The sequence below is a fragment of the Homo sapiens genome, chromosome 16 (assembly GCF_000001405.40).
Source record: "Homo sapiens chromosome 16, GRCh38.p14 Primary Assembly".
Classification (NCBI taxonomy): Eukaryota; Metazoa; Chordata; class Mammalia; order Primates; family Hominidae; genus Homo; species Homo sapiens.
In genome coordinates, this window is record NC_000016.10 from 89,217,656 (window position 1) to 89,239,091 (window position 21,436).

Sequence of the window (21,436 nt, forward strand, 5' to 3'; positions counted from 1 at the left end):
CGCCAAAGACGCGCCGGCCCCTCTTCCGGCGCCGGCCCCGCCTCCGCCTGTCTTACAGCTGATCCGGTTCTTGCGGCGGTGCGTGCTGGCGCCGGAGAGTTCCGCGCGTGTCCTCGGGCTGTCCGCGGGGAAGCTGGTCCGGGAGTGGGCGCCCGCCCGCCTGCCTCGCGCCTTGCGCCCCCGGCACCGCTTCCAGAAGGGAAAGTCGCCGCCGCTCGCGGTAGACCCGGGCAGCGCTTCCATTCCGCGGAGCTGGTGAGAGAGGGGCCCTTTGCTTCCTTCACTTTGAACAGGGCGTGTTTCTGTGAGAATCTGGCTTCGGCTTTGACGTTTTTTATTTGTTTCTGGCACATTGTGTTGGGACCGAAGCGTAAGGTAGACCCCTGAGCGCCCCGGGCGTGCAGCTCCCTGTGAAAGTTAGCCCGTGGGGGCCAGCGGGAGCGCGCGTCCCTCGCCGCCGGGACTTCCAGGCCCGGCCCTCGGGGCGGGAGGGATGCGGCCGTTGTCCCGCTGGTCTTGGAGTAATCGAATCCACGGTGAACAGTGTGTTTCGACTAACTGTATTTTTTCTCACGTTTTGCTTTAGAAAATCTGAATCTAATAAAAATGTGAACATCTGCTACAAGGAATATCCACTGCAATCGTTTTACTCCTTTTTAGCTTTGGGCCATGTTTTCTCTCTCCCCCAATAAATAAACCTTACGGTGAATTATTATTTGAGTGTAAGTAAGTTGAAATTAAACTGCACACATGATACTTAACCTTTAAATACTTGGTAAAGCGTCTGTTAAGGGTAAGGACATTATCCTACTGAAACCACAATATTAGTATTTCATCTAAGAAAATTAAAATTAGGCCGGGCGCGGTGGCTCACGCCTGTAATCCCAGCACTTTGGGAGGCCGAGGCGGGTGGATCACGAGGTCAGGAGACCGACACCATCCTGGCTAACACGGTGAAACCCCATCTCTACTAAAAATACAAAAAATTAGCCGGGCGTGGTGGCGGGCTCCTGTAGTCCCAGCTACTCTGGAGGCTGAGGCAGGAGAATGGCGTGAACCCGGGAGGCGGAGCTTGCAGTGAGCCGAGATGGCGCCACTGCACTCCAGCCTGGGCGACAGAGCGAGACTCCGTCTCAAAAAATAATAATAATAATTAAAAATAATAAGGTCCGCTGGGCACAGTGGCTCACGCCTGTAATCCTAGCACTTTGGGAGGCCGAGGCGGGTGGATCATCTGAGGTCGGGAGTTCAAGACCAGCCTGACTAACATGGAGAAATCCCGTCTCTACTAAAAGTACAAAATTAGCCTTGCATGGTGGCGCATGCCTGTAATCCCAGCTAGTCGGGAGGCTGAGGCAGGAGAATCGCTTGAACCTGGGTGGCACAGGTTGCGGTGAGCCAAGATCGTGCCATTGCACTCCAGCCTGGGCGACAGAGCAAGACTCCGTCTCAAAAAAATAAAAAAATAAAAAAATAAGAAGGAGGTCATCCACTGTCTACTTTGTGTAATATCTAGGATTCTCAACATTTTTCCAACATTGCGCTGTTGGGTATTTTGGGGACTAAGAGCCCTTCAAGGTTTATCTGTTCCCATCGTTTATGTCTTTTCACCTAGAACAACCCCTGTGGTTTCTCTATCATATTGACTTTGGTGTTGTTTTCTCGTGATACGTTTAAATATTCCTCCATTTCTTGCTGCTTCCTATGAACTTGTAATTGAATTCAGAGGAGAGGTTGGCAAAGGGCGGATAGTAAGCACCTTATGCCTTTGGGTCCACGAGGTCTCAGATGGCTGAGTTCAGCCTTAGTCACCTCATGTCCCATGTTAGCTGTTCCTTCTCTACTCTGTCCTGGTTCCAAGCCCCAGCCTATTTCTGAAAAGGTAAGTGGTCAGCTGCATAGATGACCGTTTAGAGGGTGTAGATTTACTCTGAAATCCCAGAGGGTTGTGCTCTGAGTCTTATCAGTGCTTGCCAGAGGCATCCAGCGGCATCCTGTTTACCATGGACGCTGTGTCAGTGGGTCTGCTGGGTCCTTTCCACCAAGTGCCTAAGAAGCTTGTCCTGCACCCTGAATGTGCACTGATCCACACTTGGCACTGGCAGCCTTACAGGCAACTGTGTAGAGCGTTAACGCTGTTATATACGTTGCCCCTAAAATTAAAAGATCTGCAGAGTGTTGTGCCTCTTTTTTGGTTATAGGTGTCATGAGGTGCAGTAACTTGGAGGTGCATATCGGAGGGGATGTCTTTATGTAATCCAGACTGCTGAACTCGTAGAAACTATGGCCCCTGAATCACAAGCTCTCTGTTGTGTATATTTCATATGAAGTTATCTAAAATGTGTTCATTTTCTGTTCACTGTATCCAACCAGCCTCATGTCAACATAGTGTATGAGTGCAGTCTGAGGGTCAGGTCCTCTGGGGATGATGTTAAGGTGGAGAACTGAATATTACATCCCTTTTTGAAGGAGGGAAAAGAGCCTGTGCAGGTGACAACAAAGTCAACACATTTGTGGGTCTTTTAGCCCAAAGACCTCGCCCCCGCCGACACCTAGTAGTAAGTACAGTTTATACAAGGAGAATGGACATGTTTTTCTGACATGTGAAACTTTACTGTTTTAGTCACCTCATCGGTAGAATAAGAAAGTACAGCTCTAGACCTACCTTTGTCCTGCTGGGGAGTGACCGCAGACTCAGGAGTACAAACTGACGAGACCGGGGCGGGGCACGGTGGCTCACGCCTGTAATCTCAACACTTTGGGAGGCCGAGGTGGGCGGATCACGAGGTCAGGAGATCAAGACCATCCTGGCTAACATGGTGAAACCCCACCTCTACTAAAAATACAAAAAAATTAGCTGGGTGTGGTGGCACTCGCCTGTAGTCTCAGCTACTTGGTAGGCTGAGGTGGAAGAATTGCTTGAACCTGGGAGGCAGAGGTTGCAGTGAGCCGAGATTGCGCCACTACACTCCAGCCTGGGTGACAGCAAGACTCCATCTCAAAAGCAAACAAAACCTGTGACGAGATGGTCGAACATGTACCAGCTAACCGTCCTGGTTCACCACTTCCTAAGTGGATGATGTGGACCAGTTCATGTTATCTGAATCCAGGCTGTTTTAGGTATGAACACGGGTGAAATCTGTGAATGGCTGTTCTGATAATTAAAGGCTTCTGTTGTGTCTTTTGACCCATATACTGCTCTTCAGTAGGTGACGTGGATATTACTAGTCCTCAAGAGAGTAAAGTGGATATAGTGGCTTTCACATATATCATCTGCAGAAACAAGCTAATGCGTGAGGTTTGATAACTGGGAAGTAATGCTTCTTCATCATGATTGCTAGGAAATAGGGATCCAGCCATCCGTGGGTCAGGAGGAATGGAGACTGTACCTTCCACATAGATTCACAAGCTGCCCTGCAGTGGCCTTGGCTTCAGGAAAGGAGCATTCAGACGCTTCCGTCAGCCTCCCAGGATGGCAGCCCCTGACCTGGCCCACGGTAAGTCCTGGTGGGGCTCCTTCTCAGAGCCTCTGCTCTAGGTCCTGATACACAGTGTGTGTATCAGGCCCATGGACGGGGCCTGAGTAGTCACGCTCCGGGTTCCTATTGCAGCTGCTGGAGTGAGCCAGAGAATGCTGACCTGTAAGTCAGCCCCAGGGTGTGTGCTTTGGGGAGGGATGATGTGTAAACTCCTTCATGAGTTTTCTCACCACGGGCAAATGAAGAGTCACGTTCCTCAAGGCGTACCGTTCCATATCTGCAATAGGAGCCTGTTACCATTTCCTGATGGGCGGCATAGCTCACAAACATTTTGTGTCACCAGGCGAAACAGACTACCCTGGCACTGTATGGCTGTGTGTGTGTCTGTGTGTGTTTTCCTGAGGCACTGTATGGCTCTGTGTGTGTGTTTTCCTGAGGCACTGTATGGCTGTGTGTGTGTGTGTGTGTGTGTGTGTGTATTTTCCTGAGGGACTATATTTTCCTGAGGCATTGTATGGCTGTGTGTGTGTGTATTTTCCTGAGGCAGTTTATGGCTGTATGTGTGTGTTTTCCTGAGGCACTGTATGGCTGTGTGTGTCTTTTCCTGAGTGTGCAAGAGTACATGGGAATTCCCTCGCTCTGTATGACTGTGTGTGTGTGTGTGTGTTCCTCAGGCAGTGTATGGCTGTGTGTGTGTGTGTTTTCTTGAGGAAGTGTATGGCTGTGTGTGTGTGTGTGTTTTCCTGAGGTACTGTATGGCTTTGTGTGTGTGTTTTCCTGAGTGTGCAGGTGTATGTGGGAATTCCCTGACACTGTATATCTGTGTGTGTGCGTTTTCCTGAGTGTGCAGGAGTACGTGATAATTTCCTGCTAGGATGGAATGACTTCCGGGTCCATGAGTGTGGAATTAGGGTCAGCTCTGGGTTCTCATGCCTTCTTGCCTTCTTTGTTTTTTAGGAGGTCATGTTTCTAGGGACTCAGTCTGCCTTCATGAAGAACAGACACAGGCAGCAGGGATGGTGGCTGGCTGGCTGATAAATTGTTACCAGGTATGCCAAAACTGTATTTTTTCTTAAAATAACATACTGGTATTCAGCAGATAGACAAGTTTCTGTCTGAGCAGACTTGTCTGCACAGCCTCACTCAAGGACCGAGTCCCTAGTTGAACGCCTCCAGGGAGAAGAGCCTGGCTGGTCAGGTGTTACTGTGAAAATCCTCCCCGTATTTCAGTGTTACTTTTTTTTTTTGAGACGGAGTCTCGCTTTGTCGCCCAGGCTGGAGAGCAATGGCCCAATCTCGGCTCACTGCAATCTCCGCCTCCCAGGTTCAAGCAATTCTCCTGCCTCAGCCTCCCAAGTAGCTGGGATTACAAGTGCCCACCAGCATGCCTGGCTAATTTTTGTATTTTTAGTAGAGACGGGGTTTTGCCATGTTGGCCAGGCTGGTCTTGAACTGCTGATCTCAAGTGATCCACCCGCTTTGGCCTCCCAAAGGGCTGGGATTACAGGCTTGCACCACTGCGCCCAGCCACAACATTACTCATTATTTTCACCCTTGTGCCAAATGCGTGTTTCGTACTTTGCTTAGTGCTCTGACACATGGTAAGGAAGGGGAAGGTATCCTCTCTGGGAACTTATTTCCACATCACGAGTTACCACTTGTTTGTAGTGTGCTCAGGAGAGGGACATAAGGCGAGGGGAGTGCCCAGTGAGCGTGGTGAGAGAAGCTCACATGTTAGAGGTGTCGTTGCGGCCGTGTGACTGGAGGAGAGCGACAGGGTGCGCGTGACTGGAGGAGCGCGACAGGGCACGCGTGACTGGAGGAGAGCGACAGGGTGCGCGTGACTGGAGGAGAGCGACAGGGCGTGTGTGCGGGCAGAGAAGGGTTCCTGGGACCACTGGGCCATGGGGTAGACAGTAGGAGGCCTCACAGTCCCATAGGCGTAGGGCCCCGCCTCCTCATTCTTCAGTGAATACCGATGGACACGTTGGAAGGCTCCAACCGTCATGTGTGATGATTTAGGACGCGGTGACCTTTGACGACGTGGCTGTGGACTTCACCCAGGAGGAATGGACTTTACTGGACCCATCTCAGAGAGACCTCTACAGAGATGTGATGCTGGAAAACTACGAGAACCTGGCCTCAGTAGGTGAGGCTGCCACCGTCCTTTGCAACTTCTGTGGAACCAATACTTGATGTGTCCTTACTGTGTTCCAGGGTTGGTGACGGCAAAGCCGAGTACCACGGGAAGTAAGAGATATAACAACTGTGCTAGTAGGCTTGGTGCTAGTGTGGTCGTTTCCAGAATGTGGTCCTGGGGTCATGAGCATCACCGTCACTCCTCTAGAAACATGCATTCTGAGGCTTCAGCTGGGACACATTGGATCAGAATGTCTCCTGGGGGTGGGCCTGTCATCTCTCCTGTAACAAGCCCTCCCGACGATGCCAATTCACTCTAACACTGAGAACCACTGGGTAGTAGTTTCCCAAGTGAATGAAGATCTCTTATTGCACTTCTGTTATTTCCTATTTGAGTAAGAGTCTTTGTGGTTTTTACGTGTATATTTAAGCCTGAATGTGGGCTTCAGGAATCAGAGATAACCAGTTTCTTTGGGGCGCAGAAGGATGGAGTATTTGCACTTTGAGCCCTTTTGAAACAATTTCACTGCATTCTTTAGAAATGTAGTTCCTGGCATGCCACTGCACTCCAGCCTGGGTGACAGAGCGAGACTCCATCTCAAAAAAAAAACAAACGTAGTTCCTGGCCGGGCGCGGTGGCTCATGCCTGTAATCCGAGCACTCTGGGAGGCTGGGTGCAGTGGCTCAGGGCTGTAATCCCAGCACTCTGGGAGGCCGGGCGCGGTGGCTCAGGGCTGTAATCCCAGCACTCTGGGAGGCCAGGCGCAGTGGCTTAGGGCTGTAATCCGAGCACTCTGGGAGGCTGGGTGCAGTGGCTCAGGGCTGTAATCCGAGCACTCTGGGAGGCTGGGTGCAGTGGCTCAGGGCTGTAATCCCAGCACTCTAGGAGGCCAGGCGCAGTGGCTCAGGGCTGTAATCCCAGCACTCTGGGAGGCAGGGTGTGGTGGCCACGCCTGTAATCCCAGCACTCTGGGATGCTGGACGCAGTGGCTCATGCCTGTAATCCCAGCACTTTGGGAGGCTGGGCGCAGTGGCTCACGCCTGTAATCCGAGCACTCTGGGACGCCAGACGCAGTGGCTCATGCCTGTAATCCTAGCACTTTTGAGAGGCCGGGGTGGGCGGATCACAAGGTCAGGAGATTGAGACCATTCTGACCAACACGGTGAAACCCCATCTCTACTAAAAATACAAAAAACTAGCCAGGCGTGGTGGCGGGCACCTATAGTCCCAGCTACTTAGGAGGCTGAGGCAAGAGAATCACTTGAACCCAGGAGGCAGACGTTGCAGTGAGCCGAGATTGCACCACTGCACTCCAGCCTGGGCAACAGCGCGAGACGCTGTCTCAAAAAATAATAAAAAAAAGGAAATGTAGTTCCTGTTCACGGGTAGGTTTGTCATCCCCTGCCTGAGCCTCTTCCATCGATGTCTCTTTCCCTGTGTACAGGACATCACCTGTTCCAACCCAGTGTGATCTATTGGCTGGAGCAGGAAGAGGAGTTGAGGGCAGGGCGGAGAGCAGTTCTCCAAGGTAAGTGTGAAGAGCACGCCTGGTCGATGTCAAGTTTAGCAGCTGTGGGAGGATCCTGAGTGTCAAGTTTAGCGGCTATGGAAGGATTGTGTCAAGTTAAGCGGCTGTGGGAGGATCCTGAGTGTCGAGTTTAGCGGCTGTGGAAGAATCCTGAGTGCACGTTTTAAGATGCATTCTGGCACAGAACATGAGGCTGTTGGCTCTGGGTATCCTGAGCTTCCCGTAATTCCTTATTTTCCATCTGATCTGGATTTTCCCTTTCTTGTGATCTCATAAAAAACCTGCTGTTTTGTTCTTTCAGTTTGTGGGTTTTTTTTTTTTTTTTTTTTTTGAGACGGAGTCTTGCTCTGTTGCCCAGGCTGGAGTGCAGTGGCACAATCTTGGCTCACTGCAAACTCTGCCTCCTGGGTTCACTCAGTTCTTCTGCCTCAGCCTCCTGAGTAGCTGGGATTACAGGTGCGTGCTGCCACGCCTGGCCAAGTTTGTGTTTTGAATGTATGCCCTTTGTCCAGCTCTTTCCTGCTTTCTTTCATTGATAATATTGTTTCTGTTCACCTCACATTTCTTCTTTATGGACCAAATGTATTTTAAAATCTTCTAAATTATGACTCCCAGTTCCTATGATTCCAAATTTTACACATAGCCAAACTCCTTAAATCTATCTTTGCTTTGTTTTTTTTTCTGCCATGTCTTATATGAAAACAAATACCAATGAGTTTGATCGTTTTTAGGTCATTCTTCTTTCTTTTCAGAATGGCGACTTAAAACCAAAGGGCCAGCACTTCGGCAGGATAGATCTTGGTTCAGAGCATCAAATGAGACACAGACGGTAAGATTAACAAGAGAGATTTTTTTATTTATCACACTCATAAAAGATTGGGAATTCCACTATAGAAAATGAGCAAAATTGAGAGAATTTAGAGAAGCAGGATTCACTCAGGCAGGGGTTGTCTGTAGAGAACACTCTGAATGTGCGGAATTTGGGAGGACCTCATCCTGTCTTGAAACTTGGTGCTTCAGACACACATCAGCGCACACATGACGAGGTCTTGAGATCGCAGAGCTGTTTTGTGCGCACAGACTTTTCGAAGTTAGAGCAGATGGTGCAGGATTCTTTTTTTTTTTTTTGAGATGAAGTCTCACTCCATCACCAGGCTGGAGCGCAGTGGCACGATCTTGGCTCACTGCAACCTCCGCCTCCTGGATTCAAGTGATTGTCCTGCCTCAGCCTCCCAAGTAGCTGGAACTAGAGGCATGTGCCACCATGCCCAGCTAATTTGTGTATTTTTAGTAGAGACGGGGTTTCACCATGTTGGCCAGGATGGTCTCGATCTCTTGACTTTGTGATCCTCCCACCTCAGCCTCCCAAAGTACTGGGATTACAGGCGTGAGCCACTGTGCCTGGCCGATTCTTTTTTTTGACATGGAGTTTTGCTCTTGTTGCCCAGGCTGGAATGCAACGGCGCAATCTTAGCTCGCCGCAACCTCTGCCTCCCTGGTTCAAGCCATTCTTCTGCCTCAGCCTCCTGAGTAGCTGGGATTACAGGCATGCGCCACCATGCCCAGTTAATTTTGTATTTTTAATAGAGACGGGGTTTCTCCATGTTGGTCAGGCTGGTCTTGAACTCCCGACCTCAGGTGATCTGCCCGCCTCGGCCTCCCAAAGTTCTGGGATTACAGGCATGAGCTGCTGCGCCCGTCCTGATGGCACAGGATTCTTGCAGTGGGGCTCCTCATTTGACTTGAAAGACATCTACAGGGCAGGAGCTGCTTGCATGTTATGAAAATGGCAAAAATCGTAATCATCATCGTCATGCTCTGTCTTCAGCTGGGTGAGATCTATGAATCAGCCTCAGTAACCCCCTGACCACCACTCATTCTTCACCAACAGGCAAGAAGCCACAATGGAGGGCAGCTCTGTGACCGCACGCAGTGTGGAGAAGCTTTCAGTGAACACTCAGGCCTCAGCACACACGTGAGAACTCAAAATACAGGAGACAGTTGTGTGTCTAATCATTATGAAAGGGACTTTTTTATTCCATGCCAGAAAACCTTGTTCAAAATTGGAGAGCAGTTTTCCGTGTTGGGTCAGTGTGGAAAAGCCTTCAGCTCTACTCCAAATGTTGTTTCCCAGCAAGCATGCACTCGGGACAGATCTCTTGACTACAGCAGCTGTGGGGAAGTGTTCCTTAATCAGTCATACCTTCAGGCACGTGCGGGAAGTCACAACGGAGAAGAAACATGGAAATGGAAGCCGTGTGGGAAAGCTCTAACTCACTCCATGGGCTGCGCCACACCTGTTGAAATGCATGCCGTCAGGAATCCCCACGTATGTAGGGAATGTGGGAAGGCCTTTAGGTACACTGCCTACCTTACTGGTCGCGTGCAAGTCCACCCTGGGGAAAAGCCCTGTGAATTGGAAGAATGTGGAAAAGCCTCCCCTGTTTCTTCCAGCCTAACTCAACATGTAAGAATTCATGCTGCAGAGAAACCCTGTGAATGTAAAGAATGCGGAAAAGCCTTCACTGGACTCTCAGGTCTTTCTAAACACGTCCAAACAGACCCTGGACAGAAGCCCTATGAATGTAAGGACTGTGGGAAAGCCTGCGGTGGGTTTTATCTACTGAATGAGCATGGAAAAACTCACACGAGGGAGAAGCCCTTTGCATGTGTGGTTTGCGGAAAATATTTTAGAAATTCCTCATGCCTTAATAATCATGTTCGAATTCACACTGGAATAAAACCCTATACATGCAGCTACTGTGGGAAGGCCTTCACTGTGCGCTGTGGCCTTACTAGACACGTACGAACACACACGGGCGAGAAGCCATACACGTGTAAGGACTGCGGGAAAGCCTTCTGTACATCCTCGGGCCTTACTGAGCATGTAAGGACTCACACTGGAGAGAAACCATATGAATGTAAAGATTGTGGGAAATCCTTCACTGTTTCTTCAAGCCTGACTGAGCACGCGAGAATCCATACCGGAGAGAAACCCTACGAATGTAAGCAGTGTGGCAAAGCCTTCACAGGGCGCTCAGGCCTCACTAAACACATGCGGACACACACCGGGGAGAAGCCCTATGAATGTAAGGACTGTGGGAAAGCCTACAATAGGGTTTATCTACTGAATGAGCATGTGAAAACTCACACAGAGGAGAAGCCCTTTATATGTACGGTATGCAGGAAATCCTTCAGAAATTCCTCGTGCCTGAATAAGCACATTCAGATTCACACTGGAATAAAACCTTATGAATGTAAGGACTGTGGGAAAACATTCACTGTTTCTTCGAGCCTAACCGAGCACATACGAACTCACACTGGAGAGAAACCTTATGAATGTAAAGTATGCGGAAAGGCCTTCACCACATCCTCACACCTTATCGTGCACATAAGAACCCACACCGGTGAGAAACCCTACATATGTAAGGAGTGTGGGAAAGCCTTTGCTTCCTCCTCACACCTTATCGAACACAGAAGGACTCACACAGGAGAGAAACCTTACATATGTAACGAGTGTGGGAAAGCCTTCCGTGCCTCCTCTCACCTGCATAAACATGGAAGAATTCACACTGGGCAGAAACCCTATAAATGTAAGGAATGTGGGAAAGCATACAATAGGTTTTATCTACTAAAAGAACATTTAAAAACTTACACTGAAGAGCAGGTTTTTGTATGTAAGGACTGTGGAAAATCTTTTAAGAATTCCTCATGCCTTAACCATCACACTCAAATTCACACTGATGAGAAACCTTTCTAATGTAAAGAATGTGGGGAAGCTGTCAGCTACACTCATTCACGTTGAAGACATGAAAGACCTCTCGTTCTCCAGATGTCCATGACTTGAGGAATGTGGCTAGGCAATCAGCATCTCATCACAACCCGGCAGGCAGGAACTCACCCTGGAGCCCTATGCAGCAGACACAGAGAAAGCCCTCAGTGTTCTCTAAGGTCTTGCTGAATATGGATGGTATCCAGTAGAGAGAACTCTATTGATGTGTGATATGCAGCAGCATTGTTGCTGTTCTGCTCAGTACTTTGATGATCCCTTGTGATCTCACAATGAAGAAAAACCTTAGGAGGGTGAGAATTGTTGGGAAGTCATTTTTTACATTACATCTTTCCTCACCCTTTAGTAAACGTGGTGATTGACACTTGAAGTGTTGTGAATGTATGGAAGATAGCAGTCGCTTCCCTGTGTTCTAAAACCTTGTGGGCTAACTTGAGACATGTCTTTCTGGGGGTTCTGTAGACGTATTTTGAATCTTTATGATGCTGCACTGATCATTCTTGGAGTGAGGACTCTGTTCCCTGTAGAAATCCTCCAGTCTGGTTGCTACAGTGTCCACGTCGCAGCCTGGCTAACAGTAGGCCTTGAGGACTCAGATGTGATCCTGTGTGAGCAGTGTAGGCTCTGGTTGGTTAGTCTTGAGGATCCAGATGTGATTCTTTGAGCAGCGTAGGCTCTGGTTGGTTAGTCTTGAGGATCCAGATGTGATTCTGTGAGCAGTGTAAGCTCTGGTTGGTTAGTCTTCAGGATCCAGATGTGATCTTGTGTGAGCACTGTAGGCTCTGGTTGGTTAGTCTTGAGGATCCAGATGTGATTCTGTGAGCAGTGTAGGCTCTGGTTGGTTAGTCTTGAGGATGCAGATGTGATTCTGTGTGAGCAGCGTAGGCTCTGGTTGGTTAGTCTTGAGGATCCAGATGTGATTCTGTGAGCAGCATAGGCTCTGGTTGGTTAGTCTTGAGGATCCAGATGTGATTCTGTGAGCAGCGTAGGCTCTGGTTGGTTAGTCTTGAGGATCCAGATGTGATTCTGTGAGCAGCGTAGGCTCTGCTTGGTTAGTCTTGAGGATCCAGATGTGATCCTGCGTGAGCAGCGTAGGCTCTGGTTGGTTAGTCTTGAGGATCCAGATGTGATCCTGTGTGAGCAGCGTAGGCTCTGGTTGGTTAGTCTTGAGGATCCAGATGTGATTCTGTGAGCAGTGTAGGCTCTGGTTGGTTAGTCTTAGGTATCCAGATGTGATCCTGTGTGAGCAGCGTAGGCTCTGGTTGGTTAGTCTTGAGGATCCAGATGTGATCCTGTGTGAGCAGCGTAGGCTCTGGTTGGTTAGTGTTGAGGATCCAGATGTGATTCTGTGAGCAGTGTAGGCTCTGGTTGGTTAGTCTTGAGGATCCAGATGTGATCCTGTGTGAGCAGTGTAGGCTCTGGTTGGTTAGTCTTAAGTATCCAGATGGGATCCTGTATGAGCAGCGTAGGCTCTGGTTGGTTAGTCATGCTCTTAGGCATGACCCACCTGTAGGGTCCCACACTGGCCAATGTTGGGGCATAACACAGCTCTACATTTTATGAAAATGCCCTTGTTCCTCTCCCATACCTGATCCCTTCAGATAAAACACCAGGGTGCAAGGAGGGGCAGAGTGGAGAGGGGCGAGGTCTGTACCCTGAGATGCCCCCGTTTCATGGCCGTGGAGGGAGAACCACCACCCCCCACGTGGGGAGGAGGGAATTCCTGTACCTTAGGCAGTGCCGGACGGGTGAGAGCCCTGAGTGTCCTTGTTGACCTCCAGATCCTCTTCACAGCATGCAGAGCGGTCCTGGCAGCTGCTGCAATCTGGCACTCCTGGGGCAGCTGCTGCGATCCGGCACTGATGAGGCAGCTGCTGTGATCCGGCATTCATGGGGCAGCTGCTGCGACCCGGCACTCCTGGGGCAGCTGCTGCTTGTGTGTGTGCTGCTCCTTTGTGTACCATGAAAACAGACCAGGGACACGGCTGGTCCTGATGTTCTGTGGCGCTTGGCCCTGTCACTGGCGCTTCTTGGATGAGGCCCTTAAACACACACAGTGGCAGAGCAAGACTTCATGTGAGTGACACGAATGTGTGTCCTCTGGCTGCAGCAATCCTGGGTTATGTTTTTTGTGGCCATCAGGGCAGCAGCTGCTTGGTGACTGTTTCTGTGGTGTTGAATCCCCACGGTATAAAGGTAATCTACAACGAGGTGAACAATAAATCCTGGATGGACAGACCCGTGCACCTTCATATTACGTGTTTGAAATCCTGGATGGACAGACCCGTCCACCTTCATGTCACGTGTTTGAAATTCTGGATGGACAGACCCATGCACCTTCATGTTACGTGTTTAAAATTCTGGATGGACAGACCCGTGCACCTTCCTGTCACATGTTTGAAATCCTGGATGGACAGACCTGTGCACCTTCATGTCACGTGTTTGAAATTCTGGATGGACAGAGCCATGCACCTTCATGTTACGTGTTTGTTGTGGAGAGGAGTGGGTTGTGCCATGTTTCTCTTGTGGGATTGAGTGTGGCTATTTAGCTCATCTGTTGCCACCTTTAATTGTTGGCATTGACACTAAAGGTCATCAGATTAGCGGGAACCAGCTTGTGGGGTTGTAGCGGCTCCTGGACTGGTCTCAGGTGACATCCTGATTGGCTGAAATAAGTCCTGCAGGTCTCTGCTAGAACTGACTCACAGTTGCCTGAGTCCAGAACTTGTGGGTCACAGGTGACGCCAGGACTGCATCATCCTGGTGCTCGGACTCCTAGTGACAGCATCCTGAGCAGGCGGTAGCCCAGACACCACCCTGCCTGATATGCCCACTGTTGGTGGAGACATCACCCCAGCACAGACCTCAATTAAGACGACTACCCCTCCGACGACTCCCCCTCCCTTCACTGGAGGTGACTTCACGCACTTCTTCAGAACCTCCTCAGCAGCGATGCCCATGGACTGGGGTTCCTAAGGCACAAATTTGATATTTGAGATTCTGTGATGAGCTGAGCTTGCTGTCCGCTAACCCGTGATCCTGGTGTAATCTCAACCAAAACCCACAGCCCTGCACCCCTTGCCTGTAGGAAAATCTGGTAGGAGTTAGTAGTGTCTGTGAAGTCTCAATAATTGATACCAAAATGTTTTGTTTCACCAGGAGGTGCCCGCCTCCTATCAGCCTCTGGGAAGGCCACTGTCTCCCCAGTGCCTTCTCCTCCGCTGCAGCTTTCCATCTCATCTCCTTACTCCCTTGACTTGGCTTCACACAGAGCCTCTTCTTTACACATACTAACTGTTTGCTTCATACCCTCCTGCAGCAGAACTACAGACCTGCCATCCTGATAATTGTCAAACTCATCCCTTTATCACCTTTATAACTCCTCAAGGATATTATCATTGGACCCCCAACATTTCAAAGTGATTTTCTTGAGTAATACCATATGCTGTGATGTGGATGTGATTGGTTTGCCCTCATCAAGTCTCATGTTGAGCTTTGACCCTCAGTGTGGCAGTGCTGGGAGGGGGCCTGGTGGGGGTTTGGGTCATGGGGGCACCCTCCTGAATGGTTGGATACCATTCATTCTTGCTGTGTCAAGCCTGGATTGGTTTGTAGGGGAATGCACTAGTTACTGGGAGCATGGTTGTGATAAAGCCAAGCCGTCCCTCGGGTTTGGCTCACTGCCCTTGACCTTCTCTGCCCTGTTTGACACAGCAAATAGTCCTCACCAGAAGCAGGTCAGATGCCAGTGCTATGCTTGCACAGCCTGCTGAACCATGAGCCAAATAAGCCTCTTTCTAAGTTACCCACAGCCTCAGATATGTAGCAACACAGACAGACTAAGACACCAAGCATGATGGAAAACTGGGTTATGGGCAGGACTGCAAGTACTGGTTAGGCAGATACCTGTATTTCTCTTCCTAACTCTCAGAACGTGTTCTGTGTCACTTAGGGCAACTTATGCCCTCCTGTGTGAAAATCTCCACTCCCAATGTCTGAGGGTTCCTCAGAGTAAGATAAAATATTAAAGGACCAATTGTATTAATTATGTTTTTTTTTTTTTTGTTAGGGTACATTTTCATCCTGGGGTCTTGCTGTGGGGGCTAGACCGTCCCTCTCAGGCTAGATCATTCCTAAAGATGGTAAACAACTTGCTGGAAACATGCACTGCATATACAAATCAACTCACTGCATATGCACATCAACTCACTGCATATGCAACTCAACTCACACCGTATATGCAACTCAACTCACACCGTGTATGCAAATCAACTCGCACTGCGTATGCAACTCAACTCGCACTGCGTATGCAACTCAACTCGCACTGCGTATGCGAATCCACTCACTGCCTATGCAACTCAGCTCGCTCTGCGTATGCAACTGAGCTCGCTCTGCGTATGCAACCCAGCTCGCTCTGCGTATGCAACTCAAGTCGCACTGCGTATGCAACTCAGCTCGCTCTGCGTATGCAACTCAGCTCGCACTGCGTATGCAACTCAGCTCGCACTGCGTATGCAAGTCAGCTCGCTCTGCGTATGCAACTCAGCTCGCTCTGCGTATGCAACTCAGCTCGCACTGCGTATGCAACTCAGCTCGCACTGCGTATGCAACTCAGCTCGCTCTGCGTATGCAACTCAGCTCGCTCTGCGTATGCAACTCAGCTCGCTCTGCGTATGCAACTCAGCTCGCACTGCGTATGCAACTCAGCTCGCTCTGCGTATGCAACTCAGCTCGCTCTGCGTATGCAACTCAGCTCGCACTGCGTATGCAACTCGCACTGCGTATGCAACTCAACTCGCACTGCGTATGCAACTCAACTCGCACTGCGTATGCAACTCAACTCGCACTGCGTGTGCAACTCAACTCGCACTGCGTGTGCAACTCAACTCACACTGCGTATGCAACTCAGCTTGCTCTGTGTATGCAACTCAACTCGCACTGCGTATGCAAATCAACTCACTGCATATGCAACTCAGCTCGCACTGCATATGCAACGCAACTCAACTCATACTGCATATGCAACTCAACTCACACTGTATGCAACTCAGCTCGCTCTGCATATGCAATTCAACTCGCACTGCGTATGCAAATCAACTTACTGCATATGCAACTCAACTCACTGCGTATGCAACTCAACTCGCACTGCATATGCAACTCAACTCGCACTGCGTATGCAACTCAACTCGCACTGCGTATGCAACTCAGCTCGCACTGCGTATGCAACTCAACTGTTGCAAGTACTTATTTCCGGCCACTTCCTTTTTCTAACTACCACACCAAGCCAGTATTTCTCCTCCCTGAAGTCAGCCCAGGATGAGGCACTAGACAGCAGGACATGCTGTATGCCCTTGGGCCTGCTGGAAGTATGCAGACTAGCCAGCCCCAGACTTCATCCTGCCCTGTCCTGCCTTTCCTGTGAAAACCCTGTGGCCTCTGCCTCCCCTGGCTCTGACTTCTGCCTCCTGCCCAGCTCTGCAGCTCCCCTTGGGCCCTGCCTGGAGTGATGTGCCGCCTTCTCTTGACACTGTGAGTGATAAACTTTCCATGTCAGGAACCTGTGTGTGTCACTCACTCACCTTGACGAGTCCGCGTCTAGGCCCCACCAGTGGTGTGGTTTTCCTCATAGTCTCTCTACCTAAGCACATGTCTGTGACAAGGTCTTACCCAGCCCAGGGATTCTTGAACTATCTGTAGGAACTGCCATGTTGACTCCTGGGCAGTTTTATTCTTTCTCTCTACTCGTTCAACCTTCTTAGGGAGTGACGTTTTTTCCAAAGTGGTTGTGAAACAGCATCTCCTTGGGGTGTTGGTTTGCACTTCTCTTCATTACTGATAGTATGAACATGGTTTTGCTTACGCTGGCTATTTTCCTTTTTGGATGAAGTACCTGGTCTTGTTTTTTCCTGGTTTGTTTGATCTTTGTTCTTTTTTAGAAATAGTGAGGCTGTTGTGAGGTGAGTCACCACTTGTGACTTAGAAGATTGCAGTGGTTTCCACTTCACCTGTTTCCACTTTTGTGATGATGCCTTAAGGAAAAAGATTGTGCCAGGTGTGGTGGCTCAGGCCTGTAATCCCAACACTTTGGGAGGCCGAGGTGGGTGGATCACAAGGTCAGGAGATCAAGACCATCCTGGCCAACATGGTGAAACGCCATCTCTACTAAAAATAGAAAAATTGGCTAGATGTGGTGGTGCACGCCTGTAATCCCAGCTCCTTGGGAGGCTGAGGCAGGAGAATTGCTTGAAGATGGGAAGCACAGATTGCAGTGAACCGAGATCGCGCCACTGCACTCCAGCCTGGCAACAGAGTGAGACTCTGTCTCAAAAAAAAAGGAAAAATATTTCTTAATTTTGGCATACTCAAATTTATACAACCTTTCCTTTATCTTCATCAGAAATTTCTTTTCTCCTAAGGCCTTAAATATGCTGTACTATTTTGGCTTCCACAGTTTCTATGTTTTATCCCAAGTTGCTTAATCCATTTGGAGTTGATTTTTGTTGACCGTATCTGTAGAGTGTAATGTCATTTTTCCCACTATGGACATAAAAATTTTTGCAAGGCCTCTTTTTTTTAATGAAGAAAAGAGGTTTATTTTGTTCACAATTCTGAAGGCCTGGAGGGTCCCAGAAGCTTGGCACCAGCACCCACTAGGCTCCAGATCGGGGCCTCATGCTGACTTCCGTTTTCACACAACGAGTGGGAAACAGGTGTCCTAACACTGTGAGAGAAAAAATCCGAAAGTTTAGTTTTTCCCATTCGCTTGCCCTGGCCTCCAGGCAGTCCTGCAGCAGCAAACACATCATCAGCCTTAGGAGCTGGCCTGTGAGGTTGACCACTCTGTAGGTGGACGAGCCTCGCCCGAGAAGAGACATGAGCAGTTCTGCGTAGGCTTTAAGACAGAATCAACATGGAAAGCACGACCCACATGGTTTCAATAGAACTTGCCTCCTGAACCTGACTAGGTTACTCGCCTGATGAACCAGTATCTCCATCACCCGTGGGACTGACAGACCCAGAGTGTCATAACCTAAAATTCAGAAGTGTAGACTATAATCTTAAATTATTCAGCATATGTGCAACAGCCTTGGGGAGCAGTGTTATGATACCAAATGGCTAACATTCATGACCTCAGTATCCTGGAAGAAAAGGAGAAAGTGTGATGTAGTAAAACCACTTGAAAAAATAATGATGAAACATTTCTCATATTTGGTGTAAGATAAAAACTTAAGTTTGAAGAGGTTCCATGAGCCCCAGACAGGATAAACCTAAAGAAAACCAAGCCCAGGCCGGGGGCGGTGGCTCACACCTGTAATCCCAGCACTTTGGGAGGCCGAGGTGGGCGGATCACAAGGTCAGGAGATCATGACCATCCTGGCCAACACAGTGAAACCTCGTCTCTAGTAAAAAAAAAAAAAAAAAAGAAAAATACAAAAATTTAGTTGGGCGTGGTGGCGGGCGACTGCAGTCCCAGCTACTGGGGAGGCTGAGGCAGGAGAATGGCGTGAACCCGGGAGGCAGAGCATGCAGTGAGCTGAGATTGCACCACTGCACTCCAGCCTGGGCAACAGAGCGAGACTCTGTCTCAAAAAAGAAGAAAGAAAAGAAAACCAAGCCCCTGCCACCACGAAGCTGCCGAAAGCTACAGAGTGAAAGTCTTGGAAGGAGGCTGAGAAAGTGGACACAGTGCTTCCAGAAGAACAATTCAATTGACCGGGTTTCTCGTCGGAAGCCATAGAGGCCAACAGGAAATGTAGGAGCATTTTTCAAGTTCTGAAATAAAAAGAAATGCCAACCCAGATTGCTATATCCAACAAAATATCCTTTAGGAATGAAACAGAAGTAACGATGAGGCAATACAAAGAATTGCCTGCAGACCTGGTTTAAATAAATGGTTACAGAAAACTCTTAAGGAAACCTGGAACAAAGGAAAAGCAATAGAAGAGTAAATACCTGAGTAAATAGATCAGATCATTCTACTCTTGAGTTCTTTAAAATATATATTATTGTCAAAAGCAAAAATTATCACATGGGGTTTCAACTGATGTATATTTAATACATAAGACAACTACAACATGAAGGTGAGGGGCAACGTGGCTGGACGGCGTGGAGGTTCCGTGCTCCATTTCAGTGGCAAAATACCATTCCAGAAGGACTGGAAAAGCTAAGTCTGTATATTTTAATTACTAAAGAAGTGTACAGCTGGGTGTGGTGGCTCACGCCTGTAATCCCACCACTTTGGGAGAGTGAGGTGGGTGGATCACTTGAGGTCAGGAGTTTGAGACCAGCTTGGCCAACATGGTGAAACCCCATCTCTACTAAGAAATACAAAAATTAGCTGTGTGTGGTTGGGGGCACCTGTAATCTCAGCTTCTCAGGAGGCTGAGGCAGGAGAATCACTTGAACCCAGGAGGTGGAGGTTGCAGTCAGTCGAGATTGTGCCACGGCACTCCAGCCTGGGTGACAGAGCAAGACTCTGTCTAAAAAAAAAAAGGACAATGAGATATACTAAAATGGTCCAATATGTTAATTAAAACATACTACTAAAAAAAGTGTTAAATAGCCTGAAAGAATTGTGATAAAGGGGAAACTGAGTACTGGGAACAAAAGAGAACAAGTAGGTAACGAAGTGGTGGCCAGGTGCGGTGGCTCAGGCCTGTCATCCCAGCACTGTGGGAGACCGAGGCGGGCGGATCACTTGAGGTCAGGAGTCAGACCAGTCTGGCCAACATAGTGAAATCCCGTCTCTACTAAAAATACAAAGTTAGCCAGGGGTGATGGTGGGAGCCTATAATTCGAGCTACGTGGGAGGCTGAGGTAGGAGAATCACTTGAACCGGGGAGGTGGAGGTGGCAGTGAGCTGAGATCGCGCCACTGTACTCCAGCCTGGGTGACAGCAAGACTCTGTCTAAAATAAAAAATAAAAAATAACTGGTAGAGCTGAATCCTAGATAATCAAACACATTAGTGCACATGATCAGCTGGGCACTCACGCCTGTAATCCCAGCACTTTGGGAGGCCGAGGCGGGTGGATCACTTGAGGTCAGGAGTTCCAGACCAGCCTGGCCAACACGGTAAAACCTTGTCTCTACTAAAAATACAAAAATTAGCCAGGTTTGGTGGCTCATGCCTGTGGTCGCAGCTACTCAGGAACCTGAGGCAGGAGAATCATTTGAACCCAGGAGGTGGAGGTTGCAATGAGCCAAGATCGTGCCACTGCACTCCAGACTGGGCAACAGAGCAAGACTTCATCTCAAAAAAAAAATATGATCTACACATGCTATTTAAAGATAGGACAGATAAAAAGTGTGACGCATCAGTATGTCATCTACAAGACACTTCAAATACAATGACGTAAATAGGTTAATAGTACCATGTAAACATAATAAAGTGGAGAGGCTGTATTTAACATCAGAAAAAATGACTTCAGCACAAAGAAAATTACCACAGGGTGTTGAGTGCAGTGGCTGATGCCTGTAATCCCAACACTTTGGGAGGCTGAGGTGGCTGGCTCACTTAAGGCCAGCAGTTCAAGACCAGCCTGGGCAACATGGCGAAACCCTGTCTGTACTAAAAATACAAAATTAGCCGGGCATGGTGGCAGGCACCTGTGATCCCAGCTACTTGGGAGGCTGAGGCAGGAGAATCTCTTGAACCCGGGAGGTGGAGGTTGCAATGAGCCGAGATAGCGCCATTGCACTCCAGCCTGGGCAACAAGAGCAAAACTCCATCTCATAAATAAAAGTTAAAAGCAAAATGTGATAAAAGACCACAAAAATGAAAAATTACAGTGTTAATTATATTGATTCAAATTAGTTATGTTAAATATTAGCAAATAATACAAAACCACATTGAGAAAATAATAAACCATGACCAAGTGGAATTTAAGACTGCAACTGGTTCAATTAGAAAGCCTATTAAATACTACACCATATGAATCCATCTAAGAAGATAAGGCATGTGATTGTATCCATAGGTGTTGATGAAGCCTTTGGGAAAATGTGGTACCTACTATTGATAGACGCACTCAAAATAGGAATTGGTGAATACTTTCTTAGGACGCCTGTGTCTGTAGCTATATGTGTGTGTGTGTGTACTGGAAGTGTTACCTAATGCAATTGGGCAAAACAGATTTGCAAAAAAGTGAACTATCTCTTGTGTGCATTATATGATATACATGGAAAGCCCTGTAGAATCAGTAAAAACATTTAGTAAGTTAGAGGAGGTGAAGTTGCCGTCAAAACATAGATGGTCTTCATCTACACAACCAATAACCAGTGAGGTGATATGATAGTAGAGAAAACTTATTTATAATAGCAATAAAACAATGCTTAGAAATAAATTTATCAAGAAATGTATAAAACCTAAATGAGGAAACTTTTTGTTTGTTTGTTTGTTTGAGACAGAGTCTCGCTCTGTCATCCAGGCTGGAGTGCAGTGGCATGATCTCGGCTCACTGCAACCTCCACCTCCTGGGTTCAAGTGATTCTCCTGCCTCAGCC

At 48.5% G+C, this 21,436-nt stretch overlaps 1 protein-coding gene across 4 annotated transcripts, besides 3 other annotated features; it reads left to right on the forward strand.

Annotated features, from left to right (window-relative positions):
• On the forward strand, positions 48-19,486 carry ZNF778 (zinc finger protein 778). Of its 4 annotated transcripts, none has more exons than NM_001201407.2 (7): positions 48-255; positions 3,342-3,497; positions 4,437-4,528; positions 5,502-5,628; positions 7,064-7,147; positions 7,900-7,976; positions 9,039-19,486. In NM_001201407.2, the coding sequence occupies exons 2-7, from the start codon at positions 3,473-3,475 to the stop codon at positions 10,905-10,907; spliced, it is 2,274 nt and encodes a 757-aa protein (NP_001188336.1). In that variant the 5' UTR covers positions 48-255; positions 3,342-3,472; the 3' UTR covers positions 10,908-19,486. The 4 variants fall into 4 exon arrangements, 3 of the variants coding, with proteins under 3 accessions (NP_001188336.1, NP_001365810.1, NP_872337.2); NM_001378881.1 differs by having other exon boundaries at positions 3,349-3,497; NR_037705.3 differs by lacking the exon at positions 5,502-5,628.
• Positions 404-934: an enhancer, noted in NCBI's record as "H3K27ac-H3K4me1 hESC enhancer chr16:89284467-89284997 (GRCh37/hg19 assembly coordinates)". NCBI's record gives its function as "activates a minimal SCP1, AML or CMV promoter by ChIP-STARR-seq in primed H9 embryonic stem cells {active_cell/tissue: H9 hESC(primed)}" and the evidence as "EXISTENCE:reporter gene assay evidence [ECO:0000049][PMID:30033119]".
• Positions 935-1,464: an enhancer, noted in NCBI's record as "H3K4me1 hESC enhancer chr16:89284998-89285527 (GRCh37/hg19 assembly coordinates)". NCBI's record gives its function as "activates a minimal SCP1, AML or CMV promoter by ChIP-STARR-seq in naive and primed H9 embryonic stem cells {active_cell/tissue: H9 hESC(naive and primed)}" and the evidence as "EXISTENCE:reporter gene assay evidence [ECO:0000049][PMID:30033119]".
• Positions 14,566-14,860: a silencer, noted in NCBI's record as "tiled region #2584; HepG2 Repressive DNase matched - State 5:Enh". NCBI's record gives its function as "represses a minimal TATA promoter and a strong SV40 promoter by Sharpr-MPRA in HepG2 cells {active_cell/tissue: HepG2}" and the evidence as "EXISTENCE:reporter gene assay evidence [ECO:0000049][PMID:27701403]".
• Positions 19,487-21,436: the final 1,950 nt, after the last annotated feature.

Bases quoted from the DNA above. Each gene is read 5' to 3' on its own strand.
- ZNF778 (NM_001201407.2), top strand. From the start codon at position 3,473: ATGGCAGCCCCTGACCTGGCCCACG. The intron at 4,529-5,501 runs GTATGCCAAAAC...GTGATGATTTAG, and splicing joins GGCTGATAAATTGTTACCAG to GACGCGGTGACCTTTGACGA. The intron at 7,977-9,038 runs GTAAGATTAACA...CTTCACCAACAG, and splicing joins CATCAAATGAGACACAGACG to GCAAGAAGCCACAATGGAGG.